Source organism: Homo sapiens, chromosome 4 (genome assembly GCF_000001405.40).
Source record: "Homo sapiens chromosome 4, GRCh38.p14 Primary Assembly".
Classification (NCBI taxonomy): Eukaryota; Metazoa; Chordata; class Mammalia; order Primates; family Hominidae; genus Homo; species Homo sapiens.
Genome location: NC_000004.12, coordinates 183083872 through 183106679, shown reverse-complemented (window position 1 = coordinate 183106679; position 22808 = coordinate 183083872). Strand labels below are relative to the sequence as shown.

The window sequence follows — 22808 nt, the reverse complement described above, 5'->3', positions numbered from 1 at the left end:
ATTTTACTATTCCATTTATATAAAATGTCCAGAATAGGCAAATTCAGAGACACAAAGTAGATCAGTTTTTGCAAAAAGCTGTAGAGACGGGAGATGAATGAGAAGTGAGTTCTTAATAGGTAAGGGGTCGTTTGTTTTGGGGGTGATTAAAATGTTCAGGAATTATACAGTGTTTATGGTTTCATAACAATGAATATACTAAAAACTACTAAGGTGTAGTCTTCAAAATGGTTAAAATGAATAATTTTATGCTGAGGAATTTTTTTAATCTAATAAAGATAAAATAATTGGAAAAAATCACTGAAGACATTGAAAACATTGTGAACCTATATTTTGATAAATCATTTGTATCTCACAACTTACATACACACTGTGCCTTTAAAAATCCCTTTCCTCAGCCGGGCGTGGTGGCTCATGCCTGTAATCCCAGCATTTTGGGAGGCTGAGATGGGCAGATCACCTGAGGTCAGAAGTTCGAGACTAGCCTGGCCAACATGGTGAAACCCCATCTCTATTAAAAATACAAAAACTAGCTGGGCGTGGTGGCGAGAGCCTATAATCCCAGCTACTCGGGAGGCTGAGGCAGAATTGCTTGAACCTTGAACCCAGGAGGCGGAGGCTGTAGTGAGCCGAAATCACACCACTGCACCCCAGCCTGGGCAACAAGAATAAAACTCTTGTCAAAAAAAAAAAATCCCTTTCCTCTTCTACATTATTCTGTGGTAACTTTTTCAGTAACAGGAGTTTAGAAATGCATAAAGAAGTCCAAAATTCTTTTTTTTTTTTTTTTAAGACAGAGTCCCGTTCTGTCACCCAGGCTGGAGTGCATTGGCGCAATGTCTGCTCACTGCAAGCTCCGCTTCCCGGGTTCACGCCATTCTCCTGCCTCAGCCACCCAAGTAGCTGGGACTACAGGCACCCGCCACCACGCCTGGCAAATTTTTTGTATTTTTAGTAGAGACAGGGTTTCACTGTGTTAGCCAGGATGGTCTGCATCTCCTGACCTCGTGATCCACCCGCCTTGGCCTCCCAAAGTGCTGGGATTACAGGCGTGAGCCACAGCGCCCGGCAAGTCCAAAATTCTAACACAAGATCAGTTTAACCAATTTCAATCAAGTTCATAGGAACCAGGGCATACATACAGACTCAAGCCCTATCATAAGGAATTCACAGTGTATTAGGGCTAACACTGTTTCCTGCTAATTTAGTAACTCCTGCATCGGCAAGAAGAAGCTGGCCATGCCCCTCTAAAGTGATAATCTCATTTTCCTACAGACAATTACTGAAAATAAGTAAGCAAGAGCCATTTACAAGGCAATGCAGGGCCCGGCAGTGTGGGCCAACAGACAACTTCCACGCTTTTCCTGGTGCACCTGGGCTTCCTCTGGTTAAATTTAAATACCAACTTGTTGAAGGCCACATGTCACAATGGCTGACTATGTAGATGAAGCTTAGGGATTTGCAGCTCAAAACAAATAACATATTTAAAGATAATAGTATGCCAGCACTTTGGTAGGCTAAGGCGGGCAGGTAACTTGAGGTCAGGAGTTTGAGACCAGCCTGGCCAACATGGTGATACCGCATCTCTACTAAAAATACAAAAATTAGCCGGGTACAGGGTGGCGTGCACCTGTAATCCCAGCTACTCAGGAAGCTGAGGCAGGAGAATCACTTGAACTCAGGAGGCACAGGTTGTAGTAAGACGAGATTGTGTCACTGCACTCCCGCCTGGGCGACAGAGCCAACTCTGTCTCAAAAAATAAATAAATAAAATATTTATTTTATTTAAAAAGCAATTATTGTCCTGAGTCTTCCAACAAAATTACACTGCAAGCTATGGACTATTAATGTCACTGGAGAACTCTTAGACCCTCCAATATACTAAGCAACTATAGTACTGTTCACTCCAGCAAGCATTATACCAAACTGTGTTAAAAAGAATATTTCTTTTGGAATTTTTGGAAGACAGCATACTTTAAATTAGTGCTTCCTAGAGTGATTTTTTTAATCCTCTTTTAACAACCTCTCCACACTTCAAATACTATAATCACTCAAATAATTCACAGTAACCACTTGGCACCCAGACTCAGGGCCTGCTGGAGAGGAACAATTCCAGCAGTCTATGACAATGGCAGTTGTGATTAAGACTATCAAGGTTCATTTTGTTTTCTTTGCTCTTATAAGTAATTCTCATATTTATACTATTACTCAAAATGTAGCAGCTCAATTCTCTTATTATTTTAAATATAACTGGAAAGTCAGTTGTCTCTGTTGGTGGCTATGGGTTTATTTTTTGAAAGCCCAACAGTAAGAATCTGGAAATAAGAGAGTAGCTCAATTAATATTCTTTCATTAATTTAACAAACTGTCTTCATTAACTAAATTAACCAACATTTATTTAACATACCATGTATAAAGGATTCAAAAAGCAGTAATAAGCAATCGGGGACTCCAGGAGTTTACAGTCTAGCAGTGGGTTCATAGAAATTACTTAATTTGCCAGCCTGGCCAACATGATGAAACGCCACCTCTACTAAAAAAAACTACGAAAAATTAGCTGGGCGTGGTGGCAGGTGCCTGTAATCCCAGCTACTCGGGAGGCTGAGGCAGGAGAATCACTTGAACCCAGGAGGTGGAGGCTGCAGTGAGCCAACATCGCGCCATTGCACTCTAGCCTGGGCGACAATGTGAGACTCTGTCTCAAAAAAAAAGAAATTACTTAGACTTTGAAAGAAAGACAAGGCCAGGCCGGGCGTGGTGGCTCATGCCTGTAATCCCAGCACTTTGGGAGGCCAAGGTGGGCGCATCACAAGGTCAGGAGATGGAGATCATCCTGGCCAACATGGTGAAACCCCATCTCTACCAAAAATACAAAAAAATTATCTGGGTATGGTGGTGCCTGTAATCCCAGCTACTCATGAGGCTGAGGCATGAGAATCACTTGAACCCAGGCGGCGGAGGTTGCAGTGAGGCGAGATGGCACCACTGCACTCCAGTCTGGCGACACAGCAAGACTCCGTCTCAAAAAAAAAAAAAAAAAAGAGAAACACAAGTCCAGGTGCGGTGGTTCATGCCTGTAATCCCAGCACTTTGGGAGGCCGAGGCAGACAGATCACCTGAGGTCAGGAGTTCGAGACCAGCCTGGCCAACATGGTGAAACCCCATTTCTACTAAAAATACAAAAAATTAGCCGGGCGTGGTGGCAGGCGCCTGGAATCCCAGCTACTCGGGAGGCTGAGACAGGAGAATCGCTTGAACCCGGGAGCCGCAGTAAGCCGAGATCACGTCATTGCTCTCCAACTTGGGCAACAGAACGAAAACACCGTCTCAAAAAAAAAAAAAAAAAAAGACAATACAGAGTTCCTCTGATCCTAGTCATATGCCTCAAACGGGTGTGGAGAGCCAAAAGTTAACTGTGACATCAATGATATACCCAGCTGGCACCCCCTTCCTCCCTTTTCACCCTCCCCACCCCCCAAGATTATTTTTATTCAGTTAGAAGGTACAGGTTGCTCAACATCTGACCCTTGCCATAAGCCACAGATTAGTGTCTATCAGTGGGTTTTAATGGAAAGTCACTTTGCATGGTGTGAAATCTTTCAGTTCAACTAGACAAAGTCATTGTATCTCTGGGTAACATTCAATCCAAGGATAGAAAATGAGCAAAATTCTACTGGGAGTTGGTAAAGCCAACCCACCCTATCTCTGAGGCCTGCCCACTTAAGCTCCCTACTCCTCCAAAAGGCAATGAAGCCAATCCATCCCACCTTTTTCTCCTTTGTTGAATGTAATTAAAAAAAAAAAAAAAAAAGCACCAGGCCATTTGGCCAAGACCTATGGCCTACCATAAACACCAACTGGTATGTTCAAAAGGGTCCATGGTGAGCAAAAGAAGAGGGGGTAAACCTACAAAATAACACTCGGGGAGTGGGCCCATGCAGGCAGGGTAGGGGGACAAGGAATTAATCACAAACAGGGAGATTTCCCCAGGATTAGCCTAGTCACTCAGCCTGAAAAATAAACACTGGGCAAAAAGGTTCTGCCCCTCTGTGCACTCCACCCAAAGACCCCTGAACATGCGCAAGCGTCGAGACAATTTAAAGGAATGATTAAGGACACATGCTGTAGAGTCAAGCTGTCTGGCTTTAAATCCTAGCTCCACACTTAACAAGGGCTACTTCTCTGTGACTCAATTTCCTCATCTGTAACTGGAAGATGACAGTAGTACCTACCTCACAGGACCAACGGGAGAATGAAATGAGATCACAGTTAAAGAGCTTAGCAGAGTGCCTAGCACACAATACACACTGAGTAAATACTGTCCATGCTAGTATTTCTACTATTTCCAGGGTCACTCAGTTCCTAAACTGGAATGTCAACACTACACTAATACAATTAGGCTGGGCCCTAATGGTGAGCCCACAAACACCCCTATGAAGAAGATGATATTATCCTCATTTTAGAGCTGAAAAATGGAGGTTTAGAGGGATTCAGAAACTCACGTAAACTTAGTCAATAAAAGTAAGAAGTGGAGCAATAAAAGCTTTGATCACATCCCAGCAAAGTTTGAATGACGTCATTCACCTCCAAAAGCTTAAAAGCATTTTAGAATAATGCTTCAGCATTCTGGCATGACTACCTGTTGAATGAAATTATGTTCTTATAAAATGCCCTAGCCTCCCCTACTAAATCGGCATAATTATCTGTATAATCAGAAATATTCAACAAATTCTGATAGACTATCAAAAACACAAAATTCTTTTCCTTAACAGAATAACATAAAAAATATGCAAGGTAAATCATCGTGACCATTCTAATTAAATGGCTTAAACAGTTCAAAAGTACTGCAGACCCATAGTATATCAAGTTGTTTTTCTTTCAGAATTTGTAAGTTGATCCTGCAGAAGAATCCACACACTCCTATTGGCCTGTGTAACATCTCTCTTTCCATATGTTTGGTAAGTGTGTAACAAAACTGACAGGAGTTAATAGTTACTCCAAATATACGTTCCCATCAGCTCTTACTCTATTTAGTAAGATTTAGTCACTTAATTGCCCTAAAAGAAAATATAATCAAATTTAAACTGAGTATATAATGGTGACTCTGATCTCAACAGAGTATCTTTTAAAACTCTGAGATCCAGAAATATTTGTAAGTCGTCAAATTTATGTCTCTGAATATTTAAGACCTAACAGCTGCAAGGAAAATTGGAAAAATAAAAAGCTATCTTAGTCAAAACTATTTGTCCCTATCCAATGAATTGTTTATCCAGTTTCCTGAAAATAGTTCATAATAATTACTAATCCATTAAGAGTTTAAAATAAAGGACATGCTTGACTTGTGAAAAAAGTAGTGATATGGATAGCCAAGTCATATAATTTCACTCCACTTTCTATTTACTTTACCCAGACATTACATATTCTTGTAATCCTTTCCGGTAAACACAACTGAGATAATATAGTAAAGCATGTAAACCGAAGAAGAGAACCTAGAATGCCTAAATATTTCAAGAATTTATTGTTATTTCAATTACCTGAAACTCCAAGTATCAGAAAGCAGAAAGAATTACCACACAACTGTAAAAGTCAAATATTTATACAGGTGCCTTAAAAGCCGCAGTTGGGTGCACACCATCAGCACTGACATTTACTATCTGTTAAGTAGTTTCAAAGTGCAATAGCATAAGTCAAATAACTGGCTTGGAGCGTGAAGTTTATGACAACAACTAGCACGTCTGGAGACACTGGGAAGGTGTGATGCCTGTCACAATTTTCATCAGGCCAGCAACAGGCAGCCAGGCTGCGGCAAGACCGAACCTCAGCACAGGTGCCTTTTCTCATTTCAGGAGGGAAACCTAGGCCCGTAGCTTCACGGATAATTGAACAAGGATTGTTCCATAAATTTATAATGTTATTTATAACTTTCTTGTAATTGCCTTTTAGTAGCTTTCAAAAACAACATTTTTAGGGCAAAAGTAACTGAGATTATAAAGTAGTTAGGTATTTCAGCTTCAAATTGAGAAAAGGGAAAATGTTAAATAGGAGAAGCACCTAAAAAGTATATAAAGCCCAAAGGGCCACATTCAATAAAGTTATAATTTTCAGAAATGACAAAAGTCCAAATGTCGAAGTTATCCCTGGTGGCACGTTATTTAAATTTACAATTAGGAATATCTCCTTAATGGATAATTTACAAATTTATAATTAGGAATACCTCCTATTATTCTTACAATAATTCTAAGAAATTTTAAGGGTAAAAAAAATATGGGACACAGAAACATTTGTGAACCTTCAGTTCCTGAACCAATTTAAAAAACAAAAAACAAAGAAACCAGGCTAAGCTCAAATCAGAGTGCCTCAATACCCAACGTTAATTTCACTACATCTCCCTTCCAAACACAATATGCCTGTTCCCGATCTGGGAGTCGGTTCAAGTTTTCAGGTGAAGACTAACGACAGACAGCGAAACCCCCAAACGCGCGTTTTTAAACTCTGAGGGGCAAAGTCAGTCACACCCACTAGCAGGGCCCGGCGGGGGGCGGGAGCCCCTTCCCAGCTCGGGACCTCCGGCCAGTCTGGGCGCCCCCGCCAAGAGCTCGCAGCCCAGGCTCCCGCGCCAAGGACGGCCTGAGGGATGCCACAGGTGGCCCGGAGGGCTCGTTCCCCAACTGGCAGTGAGGCCCTAGCCCACCCCCGCCGCCCAGAGGCCGAAGGTGTCCTGCAGCCTCCACGTGGGCACCTCGAAGCCTAGGGAAGTTCCTAACAGGGCTCAGGTGGCCCCTCGGGTCCGTTAGCCTGGCGCGCGGCGTCGGCCCGGGGCAGCGACTCCAGCCTTGCCTCGGGGCCGGGTCCCCGGAGGGGCGTCGGGAAGCCGGTGGGCGGAGGAGCCCGGGTACGGGCGGCTCCTCGGCCCCGCCGGAGCAGCCAGCCCCACATCCCTCCCGGGACCCCTCGGGGCACCGCGGGCCGGCGCCGCCCCAGCCCCCCGCGCGGCCGGGTCTCCGGGACAACAGCCGCCGTGTCCGAACGGGCCCGCGCCCCCGCGGCCGGCGCCCACCTGTCCCGGGGGTCGATCCAGCTGGTCCTCCTGGTGTTGTGGTCAATGTAGAAGACCTTGCCGTCGTAGTCCCTGGCCTCCTCCCAGCCCCGGGGCAGCGGCAGCTGACCGCTCCCGGCCCTCCTAGGCATGGTCGGCGGCCTCGCCGGCGAGCGGCGCCTCCATAGGTACCGGGCGCGGGACGCGGCGGGAACGCGGCTGCCGGGCTAGGCTGCCAACCCGCGACGCGGGCGCCGGCGAGGGGCTGAGGGGCGCAGGGCGCGGGGCGCGGCGGAACCACGCGCGGGAGGTGCCTCAGGAAACGCTGTTCGCGGCCCCGCTGCGGATCAGTCCACCATGTCTGCGTCGGAGCCGGCGAGCGAACCCTCCTCCCCCTCGCCGCCGCTGCCTCCGCCTCTTCCTCCTCCTCCGCCCCGTCCCCCTCTGGCCGCCGAGGGTCGCGGCGCCCAGGCTGCCGGAGCCGCCGCCGTCTGGGCTCGGATCCGGGAAGCTGCGGCGCTGCCGCGGCAGCGGCGGGCCCCTCATTTGCATGCGATTAGCATGCGCCCGCCCGCCTCATCTGCATGCGCATTCCTCGCGCCGCATTCCTGAGCTTAACCCCGCCGCTGCCGGCGTCGCCGCACCAGCTCGGACGCACTGCCCCGCGGGGCCGCGGCTCCAGGTGGGAGGAAGGCGGGCGAAGGAATGTGCGGCCAGCTCCCTCCCCTTGACCCCAGATAGCTCCCCTGGGCCAAACGCCGAGAGGTTTTAGAGTTTCTGGACGGGGAAGATTGCAAAAGTCTCCGCAACCTTCTCAACCTCTTTCGTCTTCTAGGGAAACCACAAAACTTTCGAGAGGAAAGGGGTGGCGGGCGGGGAGCTCTCCTCCGGAGAAAAAACCTCAACAAGCGGAGAGGGCACAAAGGCTCCCCACGCCGCGCCCCGAGCCCCTCCGGCACCCCAAGGGCGGTCCGGGGTGGTGGGAAAGCGCCAAGCCCTGGGAGTGCGTCGGTGGGTCCGGGACGGCGGGGCCTCCGCCAGGGCTCCTGGCCCTCGATGACCTCGGCTGAGACCGCGAGCCGCGCGGCGGAAAGCGGAGGAACTCCCGTCCGGCCCTGTAGCCGCCCGCACCGCGCCCCGTCACCCGCCGCCCCTTCGCGTCCGGGCGCTCCAGCCGCGGGGCCCCGGAAGCTCCTGGTCCCTGGCCTCCCCTGCTTGGTTCGGGGCGGTTGGCCGTGGACGCGCCCCGACTCTAGTCCCTTCCGTCCAGCCGCCCGCCCCAGGATGTCCCCCCACCGCAGCCCCGCCGTGGCCAGGAGGTGTGGGCGGCCACGCCGGAGGGACCCACGGCGGCGCCGGACGCCCGCCCTTCCTAGGCCCTGGCCCGGCCGGGGTGGGCCGGGACGTTCCCTGTTGCATAGGCATTTATTTATTCAGCAGCTACTACGTACGTGCTGGCCCGCACTGCCGAGGGACCGGACGCCTGCCCCAGGCGGGACAATGCCGGGTGCAGCGCTGGCGGGGCCTGGACGCCAAGCTTCAGGGTCCCCAGCCCCTCAGTCAGAGGGGGCGCCTCCCAGGCCCTGGACTCCTCTCCAGCCGGGTCTACACCACCGTCCCCCGTCATCTTCTTCTGGGTTACTGAGCAGCTTCTTTTAAAATAGCAACACCGAGGAAGGCCCCGAAGCCCAGTCTTGCACCTCGTGGTGTGAAGTCGTTTAATCCTGCCCGCTAATGCGTAAGGACTTTCCACCGTGTGCAGGACTCCGCGCTGGGCAGGGGCTCTCGCAGGGTTTGAACCGACCTCCGCCTCCCCTGCGGGTTCACAGGCCTGCGAGGAAGTCGCGTGAAGGAGATTCGCTACTGTGTGAGGCTGGCCTGCGCGGCGTGGGCAGTAGCTGTCCGGGGCTGGGGACAGCTTTCGGCTCCCCAGGCCATCCCGTCGGGGCATCTGCGGCCAATCTCGAAGGTGGAGAGGCTCAGGGTTGGAACAGACTTCACGGAAGGGGTCCTAGAAGAGGAAAGGGGTCGTGTTTGCCCTTAGAGCAGTCTGGGCGTGAAGCGGAAACTTTAAACCACCAGAAACTCTGGAGAGCTTGGAGCACCTGGGAAGGAGCAACCAGAGTGGGCCGGAGGTAGGGAAGGAAGGCACCCACGGCGAATTTGCCCGCTTTGACCGCATTTAGGGCGGCCGCTTGTGCAGCCAGCCTTCTGGAAGGTAGGCTTTGCGCTTGGTGAAGAGAAGCCCCCACCTCCGGATCTGTGTTCCGCCCCAGTCCATTCATCAGGAGGTGATCACACAAGTCAAGCTTCTCTAGTTCCCGGTGGAATGAGACGCCCTGGTGGGGTCTTAAGGTTGAACGTTTGAATACTGTAAAAAAGATGGGACCTGCCTACAATTAATCTCTCACACTACTGAGCGAATGTGCGTTGTTTTGGACTTCCCTAAATTGGCCCAAATGCATAGCCAACACTTGAATTGCGGTGTACTAACAACATCATTCAGCACCAAACCAAACCATTCTTATTTAAACCTTGCTTCCTAGCTTATTTATTTCCCAAACAACTTGAAAACATTTGTTATACTAAAATGTCTACATCTTACTATTAAAAAAAAAAAACCAAAGTAACACACTTTGCTGCTGCCGTAATTTTATGTCACTGAGATGAACTATTCTACAATACTTGTAATTTCAAATTTGTTAAACTTTCAGCTAAGTAGTTTTACCCAAATTCTAAAACCAGTGAGGAATCCAAAATAGCACGCAGCATTAAATGACGTTTATTGTTCCATAAATCTTCAGACTTCAAAAAGAAACGCTAAATAGACAAACAGAACTCTAAAGCAATTAAGAGACAAGCTCGCTGCTTCTTCCCCACTGACTGGCAAGGAAACATTTGGTCATACAAAAGCCATTAAAATGACGGAAAGGAGAGTTGCCACTCTCTAGCCTTTTTTGTTCTGATCAAGTTTGAACTCTGCTGTTCGGAGTTCACACAATTTACGTAGTAACAGACCTTCAGAGAATTCCTAACGGTCAAGACAATGAAATTGCATTTATATCTGTAAAAGGAAAAGAAACATGAAGATTATCCCCATTTTAGAGGTGGACACATTTAGATTTGATTTGAGCTCCAGATGATCCTTGGCAAAGAAAGATGATGCAATCCGGTGTACAGGACGCCATATTGCCCTAGCCTGGAACCGTGTTCTAGCCGCTGAAGAGCCTATTCTGTGGCTTTCAAAATGTTCTTTTCTCCTAGCTTTACGTTTTCTCTCCAGCGCTAAATCCGTGGGGATAAGCCACCATAAACAAAGCTCCCACTGTCAATGTCCTAATCTTGAGTGGCAGGAAAATTGGTAATATCAAAAATGGGAGTAGACAGTGAAAATTATTTTAAAAGATAATTCTATTATGTACAAATTTAAAAGATATCAGGTGGGCCGGGCGTGGTGGTTCACGCCTGTAATCTCAGCACTTTGGGAGGCTGAGGTGGGCGGATCACCTGAGGTCAGGGGTTCGAGACCAGCCCGGCCAACATGGCAAAACCCCGTCTGTGCTAAAAAATACAAAAATTAGTCAGGTGTGGTGGCAGGCAGCTGTAATCCCAGCTACTCGGGAGGCTGAGGCAGGAGAATCGCTTGAACCTGGGAGGCGGAGGTTGCAGTGGGCCGAGATCCTGCCACTGCACTCCAGCCTGGGCAACAGAGCAATACTCCATCTAAAAAAAATAAAATAAAAATAAAATATATCAAGCACACCTATAGTCCCAGCTGCTCAGGAGGCTGAGGCAAGAAGATCACTTGAGGCTAGGAGTTCAAGGCACTATAACCGTGCCTTTGAATAGCCACTGCATTCCAGCCTGGGCAACATAAGGAGACCCTACCTCTTAAAAAAAATGTTTATATGTAAACACACACACACACACACACACACACACACACACCCCTTTAATCCAGCAATCCCAGTACAATTATTTTCCTGTGACATTAAAGTTGCTCAAGATATACAAGGATATTCACTGAAGCATGTTTGATAATAACAAAGCCAGAAAAACCACCAGTAGCCATCGGTAAGGGACTAATTAAATAAATTATGAATTATCCATAGTTAGCAAGCATTTTAAAAGCATTAGATAAACATATATGTGCTGGTAAGGAGAGATCTCCAGTATATGTTAAGTGAAAAAAAGCAAGGTGCAAAAAGACACTTGGCTGGCTAAGTTCAGTGGCGTTACAATCTAGTCAGTTCTGGAGATGGGGCCAATCATAAAATGTAAAGAACACAGCCTCCTGTACACTTCCTTCCTGTCAAAGGAAGAACACAGATAGTAAAGGAAGGAAATTCTTATAGAGGATTAGTGCTGTCAGGGAGATCCATCAGAGAAGTATCATGAGGTAAATAATCATTAAAGAAAAAGGATGGGGAGAGATGAGCATAGACATGAGTTTAAAATGGACAGGCGTGGCGGGGCATGTTTGAGGAAAGAAACGGGTGTGCAAAGTTCAAAGATGAAGCTAGCACGAAAGAGCCCAAGACTGGCTGGAGGCATCCAGTTAGGAGGCTGTTGTGATAGTACAGGTATGAGACAGATAAGGTCTGGATCAGAAATAAGGCAATGAAGGATGAAAAGAAATGGTTTGGCAAGAATTTGCAACTGATTAGATTAAGAAGAGAGAGGCAAATAAGCTAGAAGGAGGAATCTGAGGTGAATCCAAGATTTTAGACTGTCAAAGGGCTGGAAAAAATGAGGAAGTCCAAAGGGGGATCTGAGATGCAGTTGACTTTAGAAATTAGAGATACCCAGCAGAAAGTTAAAGGTCAGGACTAAAGCTCGAAGCAAAGGTCAGGACTGCAAATATATGGCTGAATGTCTATCATCTAAAAGTCTGTAGAGAACTGAGTATGCAGGAGTGAACCTTGGGAGGGAAACATCAGTGCAAGTCAAATAGAATTAAGTAAGCCATCTATAATCCTATTTTTGGCCTTCCACAATTTGATATAATTTTATTTCTTTGTACAATGTGGTCTACATTTTCAGTTATGTGTGTAAGAATTAGTTGTTAGTGTATGAACCGTCTTCACTATGCTAGTGAGTCAGCTCTGTGTAGGACAAGATGAACTGGTTTTCAATATTTTAATATCCCTTGTTTCTTCAAGGAGATCAGGGATTATACACTTTTCAAATTCTAAATAAAAGAATGTGCTTTGTTTCTTAATCAAACTAGTGGCATTTTTTTTCTTGGCAACTGAACTGGTTAAAACAAATATCTCTAATTATTGTGATTAGGTAACCCCAAGCCGCAATTCTAAATTTTATTGTCTAGACAGTCCTTAAGAAGAAAGGCATGTGATCTTTAAAAATTCCCACTGCTGGCCAAGCGTGGTGGCTCACTCCTGTAATCCCAGCACTTCAGGAGGCTGAGGCGGGTAGATCATTTGAGGTCAGGAATTCGAGACTAGCCTGGCCAACATAGTGAAACCCCATCTCTACTAAAAATACAAAAATTAGCCAGGTGTGGTGGCGCATGCCTGTAATCCCAGCTATTCGAGAGGCTGAGGCAGGAGAATTGCTTGAGCCTGGGAGGTGGATGTTGCAGTGAGCCAAGATTGCACCACTGCACTCCGGTCTGGGCAACACAGCGAGACCCTGTCTCAAAAAAAAAAAAAAAAGAACAAAAAAGAAAAAAAGAAAAAAAAATTCCCACAGCTGGGTCAAACCAGAATCCTCAATTACCATAACCACTTCCCTTGCAGTTAATGATTACACCAACACCTTAGGCAAAAAGTCATTCCCATTTAATAATAAGGAACATCAAACAGATTCTGTTTTACCTTATTTACTGCAGGTAGGAGACCGACATTGGGCAAATTTTGTGGTTGCTAGAAAAAAAAAAAAAGAAGTGAACATTTAAAGTATCTGTCTCATTAGCAAAAAGAAGCAGAAGCTCAAATACCACGTTTTTATACATATGAGGGTCTCAGAGGGCACCTCTTGTATTCTCTGTAGGGTAGGGCTTTAGGGTGAATAATTCATGTACTTTTTTTCTTTTATTTTTTTTAATTATATAAAAAATAGAGATGGGGATCTCACTATGTTGCCCAGGCTGGTCTCGAACTTCTTGCCTCAAGCAATCCTCCTGTCTCAGCCTCCCAAAGTGCTGGGATAACAGCATGAGCCACCGCATCCGGCTTACATTATTTCTTATGTAATGAAATAATATGAGATTCTGTTTTCCTTTGACCATCTTTAATTTGCATCCTTTTTTTCTGTTCCAACTTTATAGTCTGGAAAATACCTTCTTTAAAAGACAGGATTGGGCCGGGCATGGTGTCTCATGCCTGTAATCCCAGCACTTTGGAAGGCCAAGGTGGGAGGATCACTTGAGCTCACGAGTTCAAGTCCAGCCTGGGCAAGAGGGTGAAACCTCATGTTTACTAAAAATACAAAAATTAGCCAGGCGTGGTGGCAGGCTCATGTAGTCCCAGCTACTCCAGAGGCTGAGGCAGGAGAATGGTGTGAACCCAGGAGGCAGAGCTTGCAGTGAGCCGAGATCGTGCACTGCACTCCAGCCTGGGCAACAGAGCGAGATTCCGTCTCAAAAATAAATAAATAAATAAAATAAAATAAAAAATAAGTAAGAAATCTGACCTATGTATTTCTTGAGACACATCCCAGAGAGTTAGACTCTTTTTCATTTGAAAAATGTGAAAATTGTTGAAACTTTGAAACAATAATAAAATGAGTACCTATGTATCTGTGTTCCAGATTCACCAGGAGAGATTGCCATTTCACCACATTGCTTTTATTTCTCTCTATGGAGATGTAGGTTTTTTTGCTCAACAATTTGAAAATAAATTATAGACATCATGACACCTGACTTCTAAATACTTCAATACTGAAAATAAGGCCATTCTCCTATATAACCATAATTTTTTTTTTTAGATGGAGTCTCACTCTGTTACCCAGGCTGGAGTGCAATGGCATGATCTTGGCTCACTGCAACCTCTGCCTCCCGGGTTCAAGCGATTCTCCTGCCTCAGCTTCCTGAGTAGCTGGAATTACAGGCGCCTGCCACTATGCCCAGCTAATTTTTGTATTTTTAGTAGATAACGGGGTTTCACCATAATGGCCAGGCTGGTCTCAAACTCCTGACCTCAGGTGATCCACCCACCTCAGCCTCCGAAAGTGCTAGGATTACAAGCGTGAGCCACCGTGCCCGGCCTATAACTACAATATTATCAAACCTAAGAAATTAAAATTGATACAGCAAATATTATCTAGTATACAGCTGATTATGGTTTGGATTTGTGTCCCCGCCCATATCTGATGTTGAATTGTAATTTCCAGGAGCTGGGGCCTGGCAGGAGGTGACTGGATCATGGGGGCGCGTTTCCTCTGAGTACTGTTCTGGTGATAGTGAGTGAGCTGTCGTCATGAGATCTGGTCGTGTAAAGGTGTGTGGCACCCCTCCCTTCTCCCTCTCTTCTGTTCTGGCCACGTAAGACATGCCTGCCTCCCCTTCACCTTTTTCCATAATCAATAAGTTTCCTGAGGCCTCCCCAGCCATGCTTCCTATACAGCCTGCAGAACCATGAGCCGATTAAACCTGTTTGCTTTATAAATTACCCAGGCTATATATTCTTTATAGCAGTATGACAACAGACTAATATAGAGCTCATATTAAAATCTCCTCCATTGCCTCAAGACACCCCCTGTAACTATTTTTTGTCTGTTTGTGTAAAACAGGATCTGGGCAAGTTCATCACATTAAGCTTGGTTGTCATATCTCTTCAGTCTCCTTTAATCTTGATCATTCACCTCCTTAAAAAAAAATATTTCATGACAACGACATAGAATCTAGGCCAATATCCCACAATTTGGTTTTAGAGTATTTCCTCATTAGATTCAGGTTCGCATTTTTGTTAAGAAAACTTTATGGGGAGGTTGTATACTTCTCCCTCCATCACATTGAAAAGTACGTAATGTCAGTTTTGTCTCATCATTGGTGATACTAAATTTGATCATTAAGTGGTACCTGACAGGTGTATCTGACACCATTTTAAAGGCGTCTTTTCCCTCTGCAATTAATAACTAACTGTCTGTGGGGATGGTACGGTAAAACTATGGATATCCTCTTCCTCATCAAATCTTTCATTCATTGGATTTGACATCCATTGAAGATCCATGCTTGAATTAATTATTACATTGATAGCTCCAAAACGGCAGGATTTCTTCTACATTTTTGAGCCAGCATCTTTATGTGGGGAGACCTTTCCTATCCCTTCCTGCCATTATTACTATTTTTTTTAATCATTGGGGCACTGGGTGTGGTGGCTTATGCCTGTAATCCCAGCACTTTGGGAAGCTGAGGTTGGTGGATCACTTGAGGTCAGGAGTTCGAGGCCAGACTGGCCAACATGGAGAAACCCCACCTCTACTCAAAATACAAAAATTAGCAGGATGTGGTGGTGCATGCCCATAATCCCAGCCACTCGGGAGGCTGAAGGAGGAGAATTGCTTGAACCCGGCAGGTGGAGGTTGCAGTGAGCTGAGATCACGCCACTGCACTCCAGCCTGGGCAACAGAGTGAGACTCTGTCTCAAAACAAAAAAATCATTAGGGGCTTGTCTTAGCTTGGACTGACATAACAAAATACTGTTGACTGGGTGGCCTAAAAAGCAGAAATTTATGTTCTTGAAGTTCTGGAGACTGGGAAGCCCAAGATTGAGGTGCTGGCAGATTTAGTTCCTGTGAGGGCTCATTCCCTGGCTTTTAGACAGCCGCCTTCTCATTGTGTCTTCACATGACACAAAGAAAAAGAAAGCTCTCTGGTGTCTTCTCTTATAAGGATACTAATCCTATTAGATCAGGGCCCCACCGTTATGAGCTCATTCACCCTTAATTACTTTCTTATTCCAAATACCACCACACTGGGAGGTTATGGCTTCAACATATAAATTGCAGGGGGGTGGCACACAATTCAGTCCACAGCAGGACTCATGGATTATTCTTTTATTTAGTATGTTATACTCTATTGCCATCATTTAAAAAATTCTCATAACATGTGCATAACAAAATTATTTTTTAAACCATTTTTAAGTGTACAATTCAGGGGCATTAAGTACATTCACACTGTTGTACAATGATCATCATCATCCATTTCCAGAACTTTTTCATCTTCTGCAACTGAAACTCTATACCTATCAATACTAACTGCATTCCTCTCTCTCCCCAGCTCCTGAAAACTACACTATCACTGTTTAATCATGCTCAAATGGTCTTAGATTTGGCCAGTGGGAACTCCTTTGGCCACAAGCTGGCTCCTATGTCCTTTAACATGGCTCCCACATTCTTTGAGCACTTCCTTGTCTTCTGACATGAGAAGATGTTCTGGCCGTCTTATGATTTCCCTATTCCAGAGCTGGAGTAGGTCATCTCTCCAAGGGCCCCAGTTCCCTTTAGTGGGAAAAGGTAGTTAGATCTGGGCTTCCAGGAGAACTCATTGCTATTGGAGTGTCACCCTCTTAGTAGACGGAGTTTAGACACTGTCTAGGTACATAGTATCTATCTACCTATTGAAAACCACAAGTTCACCAAATTCCTTCCATTCAAATCCAACATCTTGGCATTCATTCTAGCTTTATGATGTGGTTTGGCTGTGTCCCCATCCAAATCTCATCTTAAATTGTAATTCCCACAATTCCCACGTGTCATGGAAGGAACCTGGTGGGAGGTGATTGAATTATGGGGGCAGGTCTTCCCTGTACTGTTCTTGTGATAGTGAATGAGTCTCACAAGATCTGATGGCTTTAAAAACAAGAGTTTCCCTGCACAAGCTCTCTTCCTTTGTCTGCCACCATGTGAGATGTGCCTTTCACCTTATGCCATGATTGTGAGGCCTCCCCAGCCAGGTGGAATTGTAAGTTCAATAAGCCTCTTCCTTTAGTAAATTGCTCAGTCTTGGGTATGTCTTTATCAGCAGCATTTAAACAAAGTAATACAGTTTCCCTTCCATATTCAGAACTCTCTTCTACAACAGTGAGAAACCTGACTCTCCTTAAATTTAAAATACTTATGTATTTAGTCAACACCCTGAACATAGCCAATCTCCTGAGGCTGCCACTGCCCCCTCCCCAAGGAGATGCCCTTCTTGTACCTTCAGGCCTCCACACCTCACACCTGGCCAACCCCCTCAGTAGGCTCCCATACCTCGTACAGGCCACCCGCTTGCACAGGCACCCTCTCTTAGCACCCATACCGGGCCCCCCTGTCCTCTCATATACATGATCTCCTCATCTTCTGGGGCTCTGACACCCCACACAGGTACAAGGTACACTCCTCTATGGGGACACCATCTTCACCCTGCTTGTCTTACTCCCCATCCCTGTGGACATTTTTCGGATCCCTCTTGGGCTCTAATACCCCATGCCCAGCTGCCCCTCTGTGTAGCCCTTTTTGCCCTGTGCTGTGGTTTAAACATCCCCTCCAAAACTCATGTCAATGGTACTGAGGTGGGCCCTTTAAGAAGTGATTAGGTCATGAGGGCCCTGCTCCATGAATGAATTAATGCCGTTATAGTCAGGGTGGGTTAATTATCATGGGATTTCAGCCCAGTTTTCCTCTGTCTCCTGTGCATGCTTCTTTGTGATGCCATATATTCTGCCATGTGATGATGCAGCAGGAAGGCCCTTATCAGCTGCAGCCTCCCAATCTTGGACTTTCCAGCCTCCAGAACCATGAGCCAAATAAGTTTTTGTTCATTATAAATTATCCAGACTGGGTGCAGTGGCTCACATCTGTAATCTCACTACTTTGGGAGGCTGAGGTGGAAGGATCCCAGGAGTTTGCGACCAGCCTGGGCAACATAGTGAGACCTCTTCTCCATAAAAAATAAAAAATTAGGCCGGGCGCGGTGGCTCACGCCTGTAATCCCAGCACTTTGGGAGGCCAAGGCAGGCGGATCACGAGGTCAGGAGATCGAGACCATCCTGGCTAACACAGTGAAACCCCGTCTCTACTAAAAATACAAAAAAAATTAGCTGGGCATGGTGGCGGACACCTGTAGTCCTGGCTACTCGGGAGGCTGAGGCAGGAGAATGGCATGAACCCAGGAGGCGGAGCTTGCAGTGAGCCGAGATCGTGCCACTGCACTCCAGCCTGGGGGGCAGAGTGAGACTCCTTCTCAAAAAAATAAAATAAAATAAAAAATAAAAAAATAAAAATAAAAAATTGGCTGGGCATGTTGGCGAATACCTATAGTCCCAGCTATTCAGGAAGCTGAAGTAGGAAGATCGCTTGAGCTCAGGACTCTCCCTCTGCTTCCCTTTGTTAGGGAAGCATTTCTTACAAATTAGTGAACATAAGTCTCTCCTTTAGTTTGGTGGGGTTTTTTTGTTTTTTTGTTTTTTTGTTTTTTTTTTTTGAGACAGGGTCTCACTGTATCATCCAGGCTGGAGAGCAGTGACATGATCAATGCTCACTGTATCCTCAAACTCCTGGGCTCAAGTGATCCTCCTGCCTCAGCCTCCAGAGAAGCTGGGACTACAAGCATGTGCCACCATGCCTGGCTAATTTTTCTTATTAAAAAAAAGGGGTCTTATTATGTTGACCAGGTTGGTCTCAAATTCCTGACCTCAAGTGATTCTCCCACCTCGACTTCTCAAAGGGCTGAGATAATAATGATGAGCCACCACACCCAGCCAGAATTTCTTGATGAACTTGTTAAAATGCAGAATGCCAGGTCCCACTCCCAGAGATTCTAGTTCAGTTGATCTGAGACATTGAAATCTACATCCTCAGCAGGAACCCTGGGTGGTTCTGATTCAGGTGGTCTGAATGAAAACTCTAAGAAATATTTTCTTCTGGAATTACTGGGTCAAAGGATAAGCACACTTAATATTTTGATACATATCGCCCAACTGTCTGCCCAAAAGATTGTACCAATTTATAGTCCACCAGAAATGCATCGCAATGCATTGTCCCAAACCTTTTGATGTATTCCCATTGTACTTCCGTAATGCCCTATAGAAGTAGATGCTTAATGAACATTGGAGAGGTAGATTGTCTTTCCTCTGGGCCTCAGTTTTCTCATATTAATCAGGATCTGGATTAAATCAGTTTTTCGGAATTTGCCTGATGGGCATTACTTGGAACTCTTGTTTAAAATTTTGATTCAGGCCAGGCACAGTGGCTCATACTTGTAATCCCAGCACTTTGGGAGGCCGAGGAAGTTGGATCACTTGAGCCCAAGAGCTTGAGACCAGGCTGGGCAACATGGTGATACCCTGTCTCTAAAAAAATATACAAAAATTAGCCAGGGGTGGGAACACACACCTGTGTTTCCAGCTATTTGAGAGGCTGAGGTGGGAGTATCACTTGAGCTCAGGGGGTTGAGGTTGCAGTGAGCTGTGATCATACCACTGCACTCCAGCATGGGCAACAGAAACAGACCCTGCCTCAAAATAAATACATAAAAATAAAATTCTGATTCATGGCCAGGCACAGTGGCTCACACCTGTAATCCCACACTTTGGGAGGCTGAGGCAGGAGGATTGCTTCAGGTCCAGAGTTTAAGACCAGCCTGGGCAACAAAGCAAGACCCCTTCTCTAAAAAATGAAATAAAATAAGGCCGGGCGTGGTGGCTCACACCTGTAATCGCAGCACTTTGGGAGGCCGAGGTGGGTGGATCAAGAGGGCAGGAGTTCGAGACCAGCCTGACCAATATAGTGAAACCCCGTCTCTACTAAAAATACAAAAATTAGCCGGGCGTGGTGGCGGGCGCCTATAGTCCCAGCTACTCGGGAGGCTGAGGCAGGAGAATGGCGTGAACCTGGGAGGCAGAGGTTGCAGTGAGCCAAGTTGCACCACTGCACTCCAGCCTGGGTGACAGAATGAGACTCCATCTCAAAAAAATAAATAAATAAATAAAATGAAATAAAATAAAATAAAAAATAAAATTCTTATTCCCAGGCTCAGATTTATTACCTCAGACTCTCCAAGGAAAGGAATGAGAGTCTGTGTGTTTAACAATGACCTTGAGCTTCTCTTGAGCAAGTTCCACATTACTGATTAAATGGGTTTTATACATTTAATGTATAAAAAACTGCCCTGATTGACTCTGAATATTCTCTTCCATTCTACAATATTTTGATTTTGCCCAACTTTACAAACTTTATTTAATTAGGGACCTATAGCCATGAAACTTTAAAGAAAATAGTGCAATAACCCTGGACTTTAAAGAAAATAGTGCAGGCTGGATACAGACAAACAGAGTAGCTATAACACTCAAATGACATATGTGTGAATGATAGATTCAGAACATAACTTTTGTACCTTTGTCAAGGCTGTTTCAGATATTTTTACTTTTTTAATTTAATTTTATTTTTTGAGACTGTTTCTCTCTGTCACCCAGGCTAGAGTACAGTGGCATGATCTCGGCTCACGGCAACCTCCACTTCTTGGGCTCATAAGATCCTCCCACTTCGGGCTCCCAAGTAGCTGGGACTACAGGTGCAGGCTACCACGCCTGGCTGTTTTGTTTATTTATTTATTTATTTCTATTTTTTGGTAGAAATGGGGTCTCGCCATGTTGCCCCGACTGGTCTCAAACTTCTGGGCTAAAGTAATCCTCCCACCTTGGCCTCCCAAAGTGCTGAGATTACAGGCGTGAGCCACTGAGCCTGGTCTATTTTTCTTTATTTATTATATTGATTTATAAATAATATATACAAACACTCTTAAAATTTTAATTTGTCAGGCCCCTGTTGGCTGTTGATATTTCAGTCAAATAAATCTTTTGGTATAAACTTGTTTCTAAAGTTAATTCTTGAGCACTTAGCATGAGACGGGCACTGCTCTGAAGTGTTTACTTGTGTAAACTTCTTCAATTCTCCCTTCAGCCCTATGGGATATTCATTATTATGACTCTTTTTTGAGAGGAGAAGAAACTGAGGCACAGATAGTTTAAGTCATTTACCGAAGATCACACAGCCATTAAATGACAATGCCGGGATGAAACCCAAGGGACGAGCTTCAGTGTCTGTGTTCCTAGCCATATCGCAGTGGAGCAGTGGTTAATATGCACGATTATGAAGAGGGCACATTGTCTCCTTACTTTCTGTCTCCATTCAAAACCTAGTGATTATTACTGGCAAAAGTTTAGGTAGACCTGAGCCAGGGTTCTCACTAACACAGAAAGAAAGTACAAATAAGCGGCCGGGCGCGGTGGCTCACGCTTGTAATCCCAGCACTTTGGGAGGCTGAGGCGGGCGGATCACGAGGTCAGGAGATCGAGACCATCCTGGCTAACACAGTGAAACCCTGTCTCTACTAAAAATACAAAAAATTAGCCGGGCGTGGTGGCAGGCGCCTGTAGTCCCAGCTACTCAGGAGGCTGAGGCAGGAGAATGGCGTGAACCCTGGGGGCCAAGATCGCGCCACTGCACTCCAGCCTGGGCGACAGCGAGACTCCGTCTCAAAAAAAAAAAATACAAATAAGCAAGAGGGAAGTGTCCTGTCATACAGGATTAGGTTGGAGACATGGGTATGAACTCATGCATGGATGGATAGATAGATAGATAGATAGATAGATAGACAGACAGACAGACAGACAGAAAATGAGATATGTGTGTATATGCTTGGGTTAGCATAGACACATGAGTTTCTGAGCTTGTGTTCCTAGGTTTAGAAGCAATGCCACTCCAGTCATAAGGAGGATACCCAGCACCCAGATCTTGGTTGCTAAATACCATTCTCTAATAAAAGAAATCAGGGGTCCTTGGAAAAATGGCTGATTTGATTCTAGAGATAGAGGAGGGAAAATACAAGGTGAGCCTGGGAATCTTGCAGGCTCAGAGTAAGGAAGTGCCCAAGAAACAAAACAAGGAGGGTGCATCAAAGTCACACAGGAGTCATCTTTAAAAAGTCTATAATGATCAAAGCTGACACAATTTTGAGCAACAAAATAAATACACAGAATTGGATTATGTATTAATCAGGGTTCTGTAGAAGAACAGGACTAATAGGATAGATGTATATATAAAGGGGAGTTTATTAAGGAGTATTAACTCATATAGTTACAAGGCGAAGCCCCACAATAGGCCATCTGCAAGCTGAGGAGCAAGGAAGCCAGTTGGAATCCCAAAACCTCAAAAGTAGAGAAGCTGACAGTGCAGCCTTCAGTCTGTGGCCGAAGGCCTGAGAGCCCCTGGCAAATCACTGGTGTAGGTCAAAGAGTCCAAAAGCTGAAGAACTTGGAGTCTGATGTTTGAGGGTGGGAAGCATCCAGCATGGGAAAAAGATGAAGGCTGGAAGACTCAGCCAATCAAGTCCTCCCAACTTCTCCTGCCTGCTTTGTTCTACCAGTGCTGGCAGCTGATTAGATGGTGCACACTCAGATTGAGGGTGGGTCCGCCTCTCCAAGTCCACTGACTCAAATGTTAATCTCCTTTGGCAACACCCTCACAGACACACCCAGAAACAATACTTTGCATCCCTCAATCCAATCAAGTTGACGCTCAATAATAACCATCATAGATTATAACCCAAAACAAAATAAATGTACGTGAGTCCAAACGCATTACATAAATGAATGAATAAATAAATAAATGGGGAGAAAGGACAAATCTTCCCCACATATTTCTAAATGATACATGTAGATACTTCTCCCTCCATGAAACAAAGCCTAATCCCTTCCCTCTTGGTTGTGGGCTGGAGTTAGTGACCCATGTTTTAAAAATAGAGTAGGAGCCGGGCTCAGCGTCTCAT

The 22808-nt window shown here is 45.6% G+C and overlaps 1 protein-coding gene and 2 long non-coding RNA genes across 9 annotated transcripts in view, besides 4 other annotated features; 2 read left to right on the top strand and 1 right to left on the bottom strand.

Annotated features, from left to right (window-relative positions):
* The window catches only part of WWC2 (WW and C2 domain containing 2), a 221521-nt gene extending 214098 nt beyond the window's left edge, over positions 1-7423 (bottom strand). For all 5 annotated transcript variants that reach the window (NM_001410864.1, NM_024949.6, XM_024454225.2 and 2 more), the window contains exon 1: positions 7058-7423. In NM_001410864.1, the coding sequence (NP_001397793.1) occupies positions 7058-7188 (131 nt within the window). In that variant the 5' untranslated portion in view covers positions 7189-7423. The remainder of the gene's footprint in view (positions 1-7057) is intronic.
* On the top strand, positions 7481-9659 carry WWC2-AS2 (WWC2 antisense RNA 2). Its single transcript, NR_024008.1, has one exon. It is a non-coding gene; the product is annotated as a WWC2 antisense RNA 2 (long non-coding RNA).
* Positions 8370-8664: an enhancer, noted in NCBI's record as "tiled region #7903; HepG2 Activating non-DNase unmatched - State 1:Tss". NCBI's record gives its function as "activates a minimal TATA promoter and a strong SV40 promoter by Sharpr-MPRA in HepG2 cells {active_cell/tissue: HepG2}" and the evidence as "EXISTENCE:reporter gene assay evidence [ECO:0000049][PMID:27701403]".
* Positions 8370-8664: a silencer, noted in NCBI's record as "tiled region #7903; K562 Repressive non-DNase unmatched - State 2:TssF". NCBI's record gives its function as "represses a minimal TATA promoter and a strong SV40 promoter by Sharpr-MPRA in K562 cells {active_cell/tissue: K562}" and the evidence as "EXISTENCE:reporter gene assay evidence [ECO:0000049][PMID:27701403]".
* Positions 10010-10304: an enhancer, noted in NCBI's record as "tiled region #13144; HepG2 Activating non-DNase unmatched - State 6:EnhF, and K562 Activating DNase matched - State 9:DNaseU". NCBI's record gives its function as "activates a minimal TATA promoter and a strong SV40 promoter by Sharpr-MPRA in HepG2 and K562 cells {active_cell/tissue: HepG2 | K562}" and the evidence as "EXISTENCE:reporter gene assay evidence [ECO:0000049][PMID:27701403]".
* Positions 11730-12024: a silencer, noted in NCBI's record as "tiled region #10146; K562 Repressive DNase unmatched - State 23:Low". NCBI's record gives its function as "represses a minimal TATA promoter and a strong SV40 promoter by Sharpr-MPRA in K562 cells {active_cell/tissue: K562}" and the evidence as "EXISTENCE:reporter gene assay evidence [ECO:0000049][PMID:27701403]".
* The window catches only part of LOC105377578 (uncharacterized), a 33621-nt gene continuing 25092 nt past the window's right edge, over positions 14280-22808 (top strand). For all 3 annotated transcript variants that reach the window (XR_001741938.2, XR_007058410.1, XR_939537.2), the window contains exon 1: positions 14280-14496. This is a non-coding gene — a long non-coding RNA (uncharacterized LOC105377578). The remainder of the gene's footprint in view (positions 14497-22808) is intronic.